The sequence below is a fragment of the Homo sapiens genome, chromosome 3 (genome assembly GCF_000001405.40).
Source record: "Homo sapiens chromosome 3, GRCh38.p14 Primary Assembly".
Lineage (NCBI taxonomy): Eukaryota > Metazoa > Chordata > Mammalia > Primates > Hominidae > Homo > Homo sapiens.
In genome coordinates, this window is record NC_000003.12 from 41,835,638 (window position 1) to 41,848,470 (window position 12,833).

Sequence of the window (12,833 nt, forward strand, 5' to 3'; positions counted from 1 at the left end):
TAAAGGAAAAGAGGCACTGGGAGGAAGGAAGGAGGGAGACAGGGTAAGATAGAAAGAGGCTGAGTAACACTGACAAATTCTCTCCCCAAGAGGTAAAATTTATCCTAAGTTCCTCAGGCGTGCTCTAAGGCGCAAAATCAAAAAACTTTTATAGGATATTAATACTTGTCAGCCAGAGTATGTCAGAACATGTCAAACAGCAACAGAGTTAATCAGACAGTCTCACCTGGGTGGCTACAAGATAGATCAGCTCCCCAAGGGTTGGTAAAAGGCACTGTTTTAATTTGCTGTTCCTGAAGTTTTCCCTAATTAATTCAGTTAAGAGAACAATTGCCTGCAAAGACAAAAAAAAAAAAAGTAAATTATTTCAAATGTATCTCTCAGTTCTTAAACCTATATGTAAAAAGCAGGATACCCTGTAAAAGTCACCATTTTTAAGAACTATTTTCCAAATTATTTTCAAAATATGGGCCTTATATTCCTGAAAATACAGTAACTCTCCCAGATGAAGTTTAGAAATATATTCAGTAAAATAAACACATATAGCCCTTTTCAGTTTATAATTTTTTTTTTAACCCAGGCTGGAGTGCAGTGGCATAATCTTGGTTAACTACAACCTCTGCCTCCTGGGTTCAAGAGATTCTTGTGCCTCAACCTCCCGAGTAGCTGGGATTACAAGCGCACGCCACCAAGTCCGGCTAATTTTTGTATTCTTAGTAGAGACGGGGTTTTGCCATGTTGGCCAGGCTGATCTCAAACTCCTGGCCTCAAGATCCACCCACCTCGACCTCCCAAAGTGCTGGGATTACAGGAGTGAGTCAGTGCACCTGACTCACTTTTCAGTTTATAAAGCACTTCCACCGTATCACTAATCCTGAGAGGCAATTAATTGCTGCCCTATCTTTAAAGAGTAAATAGAGGCTGAGAGAGGTTCCAGCAACTGGCCCCAAGCCATCCAGTTCACTTGGACAGCCAGGATCCTAAAACGAATTTTACCATGCCACGTCCCTGGTATGCTCCGGCACAACACAGTTTAAAAAGTTCTTATATTGCATTAAACTTTTACATGATTCCTTAAAAAATCAGAGCCTGAGAATGTTATACTAAAGTTGTAATATAATGTACGCTGAAACTCGACAGCATGTTTTATCAGATCTAGTTAATGTCCTAGGAGTCATGCTAAGAAAATCACATACACTCATTGCCAGAGTTCATACACCAGAACACAGGTTAATCAAATCATAGTGCGACCATGATTAGGACAGAACAGTTTCGGAATGACATACAGAATGGCTCCACTCTGAGAAGGAAAAAAATGTATATAAAATAGTGTGGAAGCACTACTCTCAATGTGACTCAAAGTGTGGTGCACAGACAAGACTATTTCTTACCATTGACAAAGACGTTAGTTTAAAAACTGAAAGTGCTTAAAAACTTCAAAGCAATTTGACAATTCCACAACATCCAAGCATGCAATCACTGGTCTCATTTTGCAAATAAGAGTATGAAAAAGTTGGAGATGCAGGTGGGACAGCTGCACAGTAGTCATGCACTGTAGGAGTACTTGTTAATGTGCGATTTAACAGCTTTACTGAGGTATAACTTATATAAAATCAATGCATATATTTAAAGTGTACAAATAGACACATTTGGCATATGTATACACCTGTGAAATCATCACTGCAATCAAGATAACAAAAGCCCTCCAGTGTTTCCTCCATGTCCTTTTGTAATCCCTCTTTCCTACTTACTTCTTTCCTCTCCTCCCCAGAAAGCCATCAATTTACTTTCTGTCATTAGCATGTATTTTCTAAATTTTATGTTGATCATATACTATATTAGATCATACACTATATATTCTTTTTTGTCTGGCTTCTTTCAGCATAATGCATTTGAGATTCATCCATGTTGCTGCATATATCAATAACTTTTTTTTTTTTTTTCCAGACAGAGTCTCACTCTGTCACCCAGGCTGGAATGCAGTCGCACGATCTCAGCTCACTGCAACCTCTGCCTCCTGAGTTCAAGTGATTCTCCTGCCTCAGCCTGAGTAGTTGGGATTACAGGTACACACCACCATGGCCAGCTGATTTTTGTATTTTTAGTAGAGACTGGGTTTCGCCATGTTGGCCCGGGTAGTTTCGAACTCCTGACTTCAAGTGATCCACCCACCTCAGCCTCCCAAAGTGCTGGGATTACAGGTACGAGCCACTGTGTCCAGCCAGTTCATTCCTTCTTATTGCTGAACGTATTCTATTGTATGGATGTACCAAACGTGTAACTCTCACCACTCACTGCCTTACACATAATACATCATCTAGATGAAGTGGGTGAGGAAGAAAAAGGAACCATGTAGCTTCACATCAGTCCTTGCAGCAGGTCACTTCTACACAGTCTTCCTTTTCCTTTGACCTTTGCTGATCATCTACTACACTGAATCATCTGAAACTGCCAGTGTTTAGCAATTTTTTACCTACAAAAACAGCAAACTGTCACCAGCACACTACTCTAAAAGAGAAAGAAAATGACGAAAGAAGAAACCTTGAAATAATCAGAGAGGAAGCAAGAACACAGTAGGCCAAAATATAGGTAAATACAATAGGATTTCTTACTGCTATTAAGTTTTCTAAATTATCTTTCGTAGTTGAGCAAAAATTGTAAAAATGTCTGATTGGGTTCTAAAGACATTTAGAGAATACATTCAAGATAATTATATAAAAATGAGAGAGGGTAAAGGGATGAAAAGGAGGGTACATTTTCTACACTTCAACTAGTAAAACGGTGACACCAGTAGACTGTTTTATGTATGTATGTATATAATACATACAGCAATCACTAAAAAGAATCCATACAAAGAGATATACTTAAAAGCACTACAGAAAAAGTCCAAATGGAGTGGTAAAAAAAAATGTTCAGTAAACCACAGGAAGGTAATAAAAAGAAAATGGAAATGAAAAACACTGAGAACAAACAGAAAACAAAAATAAAATTACAGACTTAGGATCAAACACATCAATAATTACACTAAATCTAAGTCAATAAATCAATAAATTCATACCAATCCTAAATGTGTATCACTCAACAAAAGAGCTGCCAAATATGTGAAGCAAAAACTGATCGAACTTGGACGATAAACAGACATCCACAATTACAGTTGTGAACTTCAACACCCCCCTCTCATGCACAGAAAGACAAATACTGCATCATCTTCCTCATATGTGAAATCCAAAAAAGTGAAATTTATAGACATGGAGAGTAGAACAGTGCTTACCTGAAGCTGGGGGTGGAGTGGGGAATAGGGAGATGTTGATCAAAGGGTACAAACCTTCAGTTAGACAGGAGGAACAAGTTTTCAAGATCTATTGCACAGCACGGTGACCATAGTTCATAATAACACTTATTTCACAATTGCTGAAAGAGTAGATTTTACGGCCAGGCAAGGTGGCTCATTCCTGTGATCTTAGCACTTTGGGAGGCCAAGGCAGGTGGATCATGAGCTCAGGAGTCAGAGACCAGCCTGACCAACATGGTGAAACCCCGTCTCTACTAAAAATTAGCTGGGCATGGTGGTGCATGCCTGTAATCCCAGCTACTCAGGAGGCCAAGGCAGGAGAATCACTTGAACCTGGGAGGTGGAGGTTAGAGTGAGCTGAGATCATGCCACTGCACTCCAGCCTGGGCAACAGAGCAAGACTCTGTCTCAAAAAAAAGAGTACATTTTACATGTTCTCACTACAAAAAATACTAAATATGTGAAGTAATAGATATAACATATATAATATATACATATAATATATACATTGTATATAATAATATACAATTATTTGCTAATTAAATTTTTTATTTCTAAATTTTAAAAAATGATAAAACTATATAGAAAATGAGCAGACATCAAAATAATAAAGGAATACTACGAACAACTGTATATATATAAATTTCACCACATAGAAAAAATGGACCAACTCCTCAAAAAAAACTAACTATCACAACTCACCCAATATGAAACAGATAATTATTTGCAAATGACATGATTGTCAACACAGAAAGTCCCAAAGAGTCTAAAGAAAAAAACTCCCTAGAACTAGTGAGTTCTGCAAGGTCACAGGATACAATGTTAACATTCAAAATACAACTGTACTCCTATATATTGGCAATAAACACATGGAAACTGAAATTTAAAACACCATTTACAATCCCCCCCAAAAAAACAATACTCAGGTAAAAATCTAACAAAACAGGTACAGGATTTGTATGCTGAAACTACACAATGCTATTTAAAAAAATCAAAGAACATCTAAATAAATGGAGTAATAGACTATGTTCATAGATAGGAAGACTCAACGTAGTGGAAAATGTCAAATTCTCCCCATATTAATGGACAGATCTAATCAAATTCCTACCAAAATCCTGAAACAATTCTTTATAGATATCAAAATTATTATAAAAGTTATATGGAAAGGCAAAAGAATTAGAACAGCCAAAACAATTTTGAAAAAGGAAGAAAATGTGGGCCAGGCACAGTGACTCAGTCCTGTAATACCAACACTTTGGGAGGCCAATACGGGAGGATGGCTTGAGTTCAGGTGTTTGAGACCAACCTGGACAACAAAGCAAGACCCTGTCTCTACAAAAATAATTTTAAAAAAAGAGTTAGCCAGGCATGGTGGTGCATGCTTAGAGTCCTAGCTACTCAAGAGACTAAGGTGGCTCTCCTTCTCCCTCTCCCTTGCCCTCTCCCTCTCCCTCTCCCCCTTTCTTTCTTCAGTCTCCCTCTGTTGCCGAGGCTGGACTGTACTGCCGTGGTCTCAGCTCGCTGCAGCCTCCCTGCCCCAGGCTCCGATGGTTCTCCTGCCTTGGCCTGCCGAGTGCCTGCGATTGCAGGCGCGCGCCGCCACACCTGACTGGTTTTTGTATTTTTGGAGGAGACAGGGTTTTGCCCTGTTGACCAGGCTGGTCTCCGGCTCCTGACCTCGAGTGGTCTGCCCACCTCGGCCTCCCGGGGTGCTGGGATTGCAGACGGAGTCTCGCTCACTCAATGCTCAGTGTTGCCCAGGCTGGAGTGCAGTGGTGTGATCTCAGATCGCCACAACCTCCACCTTCCAGCCGCCTGCCTTGGCCTCCCAAAGTGCTAAGATTACAGCCTCTGCCCGGCTGCCACTCCATCTGGGAAGTGGGGAGCGTCTCTGCCTAGCCACCCATTGTCTGGGATGTGGGGAGCCCCTCTGCCTGGCTGCCCCATCTGGGAAGTGAGGAGCGCCTCTGCCCTGCCACCACCCTGTCTGGGATGTGAGGAGCGCCTCTGCCCGGCCACCCCGTCTGGGAAGTGAGGAGCGCCTCTGCCCTGCTACCACCCCGTCTGGGATGTGAGGAGCGCCTCTGCCCGGCCGCCCCGTCTGGGAAGTGAGGAGCGCCTCTGCCTGGCCGCCCATCATCTGGGATGTGAGAAGCGCCTCTGCCCAGCCGCCACCCGTCTGGGAGGTGAGGAGCGCCTCTGCTCGGCCGCCACCCCGTCTGGGATGTCAGCTGCCCCGACTGGGAGGTGAGGAGCGCCTCTGCCCGGCCGCCCCGCCTGGGAGGTGGGGAGCACCTCTGCCCAGCCGCCCTTCATCTGGGAGGTGGGGAGCGCCTCTGCCTGGCCGCCCCGTCTGGGAAGTGGGCGCCTCTGCCCGGCCGCCCCGTCTGGGAGGTGAGGGGCGTCTCTGTCCGGCCACCCCGCCTGGGAAGTGAGGAGCGCCTCTGCCCGGCTGCCCTTCGTGTGGGAGGTAGAGAGCGCCTGTGCCCGGCCGCCCCGTCTGGGAAGTGGGCACCTCTGCCCGGCCGCCCCGTCTGGGAGGTGAGGGGCGTCTCTGCCCGGCTGCCCCACCTGGGAAGTGAGAAGCACCTCTGCCCAGCCGCCCTTCGTCTGGGAGGTGGGGAGCACCTCTGCCCGGCAGCCCCATCTGGGAAGTGAGGAGTGCCTCTGCCAGGCCGCCCCATCTGGGAAGTGTACCCAACATCTCCAAAGAGACAGCGACCATCGAGAACGGGCCATGATGACGATGGCGGTTTTGTCGAAAAGAAAAGGGGAAATGTGGGGAAAAGAAAGAGAGATCAGATTGTTACTGTGTCTGTGTAGAAAGAAGTTGACATAGGAGATACCATTTTGTTCTGTACTAAGAAAAATTCTTCTGCCTTGGGATGCTGTTAATCTGTAACCTTACCCCCAACCCCGTGCTCTCTGAAACAAGTGCTGTGTCAACTCAGGGTTAAATGGATTAAGGGTGGTGCAAGATATGCTTTGTTAAACAGATGCTTGAAGGCAGCATGCTCATTAAGAGTCATCACCACTCCCTAATCTCAAGCACCCAGGGACACAAACACTGCCAAAGGCCACAGGGACCTCTGCCTAGGAAAACCAGAGACCTTTGTTCACGTGTTTATATGCTGACCTTCTCTCCACTATTATCCTATGACCCTGCCACATCCCCCTCTCTGAGAAAACCCAAGAATGATCAATAAATACAAAAAAAAAAAAAAGAAAATAACGCTGCAATGAACATGTAAAAAAAAAAATAAAAAAAAAGAAGACTAAGGTGGGAGGACTGCTTGAGTCCCGAAGTTCAAGGTTGCAGTGAGCTATGATCAAGCCACTGTACTGCAGCCTGGGCAACAGAGTGAAACCCCCATATAAAAAGGGAAAAAAGAAAAAAAATGGTTGCAATTATTCTACCTGGTTTCAAGACTTATACAGCTACAGTAATGAAAACTGTTTGGAAATTGATATAGTTTGGATATTCATCCCCTCCAAATCTCATGTTGAAATCTGATCCCCAGTGTTGGACGTGGGGCCTTGTGGTAGGTATTTGTATGATGGGGCAGATCCCTCATGAATGGCTTAATGCCATTCTTGTGGGATTGAGTGAGTTCTCACTCTTAGTTCTCAGGAGATCTGGCTGTTAAAAAGAATCTGGCACCTCCCTCCTCTCTCTTTCCTTCTCTCCGACCATGGGATGTCTACTCCCCTTCACCTTCTGCCATGAGTGGAAACAGCCTGAAGCCCTCACCAGAAGCAGATGCTGGCACCATGCTTCTTCTATAGCCTGCAGAACCGTGAGCCAAATAAACCTCTTTTCTTTATAAATTATCCTGCCTCAGGTATTCCTTTACAACAAAGCAAAACAGGCTAACACAGGCATTACTGGTGGGATAGGCACATAGATCAATGGAACCAAACAGAATTCAGAAATAGCTCCACACAAGAATAGCCAAGAGATTTTTGACAAAGGTGCAAAGGCAGTCCAATGGAGAAAAGTCAACTTTTTCAATAAATAGTGCTGAAGCCATCAGGCATCCATAGGAAAGCAAAAAGTGAACCTTGACCTAAGTCTGGTACTTGACACAAAAAATTAACTCAAAATGGATCACAGACTTAAATGTAAAACATAAAACTATAAACCTTCTAGAAGAAAATATAGGATAACGTCTTCAGGATCTAGTACTAGGTTAAAAAGTACACTTGACACCAAAAGCACAGAGACATTGTACCAAAGAGAATATGCAGCCACCAAATAAGCACATAAAAAGATGTTCAACATCATTGGCAACTAGGGAAATATAAATTAAAACCAAAATAAGATATCACTACACACTCATCAGAATGGTAAAAATAAAAAATAGTGACAACACCAAAAGCTGCCAAGGATGATGAGAAACAGAATCACTCATACTGTGTCCGGAATTGGTGGGTTCTTGGTCTCACTGACTTCAAGAATGAAGCTGCGGACCCTCGCGGTGAGTGTTACAGTTCTTAAAGGCGGTGTGTCGGGAGTTTGTTCCTTCTGATGTTCGGATGTATTTGGAGTTTCCTCCTTCTGGTGGGGTTCGTGGTTTCACTAGCTCAGGAGTGAAGCTGCGGACCTTCATGGTGAGTGTTACAGCTCTTAAGGCAGTGCTCTGGAGTTGTTCCTTCCTCCCGGTGGGTTCCTGGTCTCCCTGGCTTCAGGAGTGAAGCTGCAGACCTTCGTGGTGAGTGTTACAGCTCATAAAGGCAGTGTGGACCCAAAGAGTGAGCAGCAGCAAGATTTATTGCAAAGAGCAAAAGAACAAAGCTTCCACAGTGTGGAAGGGGACCCGAGTGGGTTGCCACTGCTGGCTCGGGCAGCCTGCTTTTATTCTCTTATCTGGCCCCACCCACATCCTGCTGATTGGTAGAGCCGAGTGGTCTGTTTTGGCAGGGCACTGACTGGTGCGTTTACAATCCCTGAGCTAGACACAAAGGTTCTCCACGTCCCCACTAGATTAGCTAGATACAGAGTGTCTGCACAAAGGTTCTCCAAGTCCCCACCAGAGTAGCTAGATACAGAGTGTCCATTGGTGCATTCACAAACCCTGAGTTAGACACAGGGTGCTGATTGGTGTACTTACAATCCCTTAGCTAGACATAAAGGTTCTGCAAGTCCCCACCAGACTCGGGAGCACCGCTGGCTTCACCCAGTGGATCCCCCACCGGGGCCGCAGGTGGAGCTGCCTGCCAGTCCCGTGCCCTGTGCCCACACTCCTCAGCCCTTGGGTGGTTGATGGGACTGGGCAGCATGGAGCAGGGGGCGGCGCTCGCTGGGGAGACTCGGGCTGCACAGGAGCCCGCGGAGGGGGTGGGAGGCTCAGGCATGGTGGGCTGCAGGTCCCGAGCCCTGCCCCATGGGAAGGCAGCTAAGGCCGGGCGAGAAATCGAGCGCAGCGCCGGTGGGCCGGCACTGCTGAGGGACCCAGCACACCCTCCGCAGCCGCTGGCCCAGGTGCTAAGCTCCTCATTGCCCGGGGCCGGCAGGGCCAGCCGGCCTGAGTGCAGGGCGCGCCAAGCCCATGCCCACCCAGAACTCCAGCTGGCCCGCAAGCACCCCACACAGCCCCGGTTGCCGCTCGCGCCTCTCCCTCCACATCTCCCTGCAAGCTGAGGGAGCCGGCTCCAGCCTTGGCCAGCCCAGAAAGGAGTTCCCACAGTGCAGCAGCAGGCTGAAGGGCTCCTCAAGTGCCGCCAAAGTGGGAGCCCAGGCAGAGGAGGCGCCAAGAGCGAGCGAGGGCTGTGAGGGCTGCCAGCACGCTGTCACCTCTCAATACGTTGCTGGTGAGAATGTAAAACACTACAGTCACTCGGAAAACTTTGGAGGTTTTTCTAAAAAAAAAAAAAAAAAAAAACAGCAACTAAATATGCAATTACCACAGGACCCAGCAATTGCACTCCTGAGCATTTATCCAAGAGAAAGGAAGGCTGTTGTCCACACAAACATCTGTAAATGGATGTTTATAGCAATTTTATTTGTAATTGTCAAAACTGGAAATGACCCAGATATCTTTTTTTTTTTTTTTTGAGACGGAGTCTCGCCCTGTTGCCCAGGCTGGAGTGCAGTGGCGCAATCTCGGCTGACTGCAAGCTCCGCTTCCCGGGTTCATGCCATTCTCCTGCCTCAGCCTCCCGAGTAGCTGGGACTACAGGCACCCACCACCACGCCCGGCTAATTTTTTGTATTTTTAGTAGAGATGGGGTTTCACCGTGTTAGCCAGGATGGTCTCGATCTCCTGACCTCGTGATCCACCCGTCTCGGCCCCCAAAGTGCTGGGATTACAGGCGTGAGCCACCGCAGCCGGCCGACCCAGATATCTTTCAATGGGTAAGTGGTTAAATAAACTGTGATTCAACCACACCACAGAATACTTCACAGCAATAAAAATGAACAAACAACTGATACATCCAACAACCTAGATGAATTTCCAGAAAATTACACCAAATGAAAAAAGCCAACCACCAACCACAAAAGGTTACAAACCATATGACTATTTATACAACATTCTCAAAATGACAAAAATATATAAATGGAAAACAGATTGGCTTCGGGGGTGGAGGGCAGCACACACAGCAGGGTAAGAGGATAGGGTCATAAAAAGGGAATATGAGGGATCCTTGCAGTGATGAAACTCTTCTTTTCCTTAACTGTTTCAATGTCAATATTCTGGTTGTAAAATTGTATTATACTTTTTTAAGACATTATCATGAAGGAAAACTGGATGAAGTATACACAGGATCTCTCTATTATTTCTTACAGAGAGAAACTATTATTATTCTATATTATTTGTAATATAGTTTTGATATTTGTCCCCCCCAAATCTCATGTTGAAATTTGATCCCCAATGTTGGATCACAACTGGGCATGAATCCACAATTATCTCAAAACAAAAAGTTTAATTTAAAAAACTGTCAACCTCATATTAAATTCAAAACCCAGATCTGGCTTTCTGCTTCACAAAGTTAGTGGCAGGGATTTACAGCATTTCTCCATTTTATAATCCACTAGTATTTTGTGTCAGCAAGCGTCACTGGAAATTTAAAACATTTTAATGCTACAGACCCTTAAAGTGATAAAACTGTCTGGACTGCCTCCAGCATAATAGAAATTGCTTTAGAACTCAATGTCTTGTAAATAGACACACATCATATAATTTATTCCAGTAATGCCACAGCAACCTCACATCTCACTTGCAAAAGTTAACTTTGGATAGCATTAAAAAGTACTCAACAGATAATGGTTCTCCTCAAGGTTATTTGTATAGATTTTCCATTTGCTGTATTACAAATTTAAAGAAATAATAATAAAAAGAAAAATATAAGAATAAAGAACAAATATAACACATAAAAGACAAACACCAAGGGTAAAAAATGTATCTGTTGACCTAGGTACAATGGCAGTTGAAAATGCCAATACTAAATGAATAAGGTAAAATAGATTTAGCTCTTCAAACTCAGAAATCCAAGGAATATGTGGATATTGTTATTATGCATGTTTTCCTCTAGTCTTTAAAAATCCTCCTGGCCTTCTAACATTGAAATTACTGTTAAAAATCCTAACATTGAGGCCAGGCGCAGTGGCTCACACCTGTAATCCCAACACTTTGGGAGGCCGAGGCAGGCAGACTGTCTGAGGTCAGGAGTTCAAAACCAGCCTGGCCAACATGGTAAGACCCTGTCTCTACTAAAAATACAGAAATTCCCCAGGCATGGTGACACACACCTGTAGTCCCAGCTACTGGGGAGGCTGAGACAGGAGGATCACTTGAGCCTGGGAGGGAGAGGTTGCAGCAAGCCAAGATCATGCCACTGCACTCCAGCCTGGGCGACAGAGCGAGACTCTCTCTCTCAAAAAAAAAAAAAAAAAATCTTACCATTGAAACTAAAAGATAAAAATAGGATATTCAAGTATCATGCTATTATTGTGTGCATTTTTTGAAAACCATACATGAAGGAAAATGGGTTTTTTGGTGTTATTTCTAATACCGTTATGCTTTGAGGCATATCTATACCATCACTGGTTCTATTAACCTAACAGAAACTATTCTTGGGCAACCACAGGCATGACTGGTTGGCTGAATACTGCAAATAGTAATTTAAGACTGTACTGCCATTTTCCACACTACTTCTTTGAAATCAAAACCTATTTTATAACAAGTATGACTGGGTGGAGCCAGGCCTTTTTGGCTTTGTCTGAAGTCATCTGATAGATATGAAAAGGTGAAATGTGCTTCAATCTCATATGCCCTGGACTGCAACTCTTAAGAAAAATACAGGAAGATGATGAATTAGGAAGCTAATTCTAATAAATGTGGAAGTTCTGCAGTTATACAACTAATATTCTAATACTTGCAAAGACATAATTTGCTTGCTCTTGACTCTCAAAATATAGTTGTTAAACTTCCATGTTAGTGGATATACAATTACAGTTACAAAAAGAAACTGAATTAATCTCCTGACTCAGAAAATATCAGGCATTTCCTATTATGGTCAGTGTTTTACTAGACCAAAGGGACGTTTTAAAACCCTACTTAACTACTCCAATGGGAGATACAGTAGTAATTACAACAACAACACAACTTTTAAAATATTTCGGTATTCTTCCCTAACCCCTGAAATAAGAGGCATTCCACAATCCCAAATGAAGAGGGAATTCTATTTGATACCACTTTGCCCTTTGTTCTAAGTGGTTTCTTAGAACACTACTTTCAATGACACAAACAGAGCTAGGGCACATAAAATAAGAACACTGTAAACCTCATAATCCCCACTCCTTTTTTAATCCATGTTCTATTTTATTTGTATTAAATCTTAGATTCCTTTGGATGCTGTGTATTTGATTAAGCCTTCGCAAGTAAAATCACATCTGTCTACCTGAAACTTCAAACTCTTGGTTTCACAAGTGTTGGTTAAAAAAGAAAATGGACATACTGAACAGATAAGGGAAGGCCAATAATGCCAGGGGAGACAGATAATGAAACTGAAGAGAATAAAATTCTGTTCTGTAATTAATAACTCTGAAAATGTCCTTGCAAGGTTGTCTATAGGAAGATCTCTGGTGACATCTGCACCAAAATCAAAGTTTTAACATTATCTCTAATTCTCTGCATGTTAATTGGCTAAATGCATTCAAACTGGCATCTGTAATTGGCATCTAACTCCTAAAGCTAAATCAAGGAGAAGCAAGGACTGCTATCTTGTCACTTCCCTGTTAAGGCCTAAATGTAAACAAACAACCTGTAACTGGTAGATTCCTTCTCTTAAAGATAATAAACTGTCAGGAAAAGCAAGTAAAGTGCATAAGTAGATTTCTCATACAGTCTTTCAGTCATTTAAAAAGTTTGGAGATACTAGGTAAACAAACTTTACAAACTTCCTGGATTTTTTTAATTAGATGTCAACAAATGTCAACTACAAAAGAAATCTGCCATTTTTTGGTCACCAGTCATCCAGCCCCTCTTCTTAACACCACTCAACTTCCTTTTGAGGAAATACCTTTCCTGCACTGTGCCTG

At 43.5% G+C, this 12,833-nt stretch overlaps 1 protein-coding gene across 6 annotated transcripts in view; it reads right to left on the reverse strand.

Moving 5' to 3' along the window:
• The window catches only part of ULK4 (unc-51 like kinase 4), a 715,505-nt gene that overhangs the window by 589,039 nt on the left and 113,633 nt on the right, over positions 1–12,833 (reverse strand). For 4 of the 6 annotated variants that reach the window (NR_136342.2, NM_001322501.2, NM_017886.4 and 1 more), the window contains one exon: positions 227–334. Coding sequence is in view for 3 of the 6 variants with exons in the window: in NM_001322501.2 (NP_001309430.1) it covers positions 227–334 (108 nt within the window). In the remaining 3 variants the exon portion in view is untranslated. Of the gene's footprint in view, positions 1–226; positions 335–11,042; positions 11,058–12,833 lie in introns of those variants that run through there. The other 2 variants (XM_047448417.1, XM_024453612.2) reach the window with 2 other exon arrangements.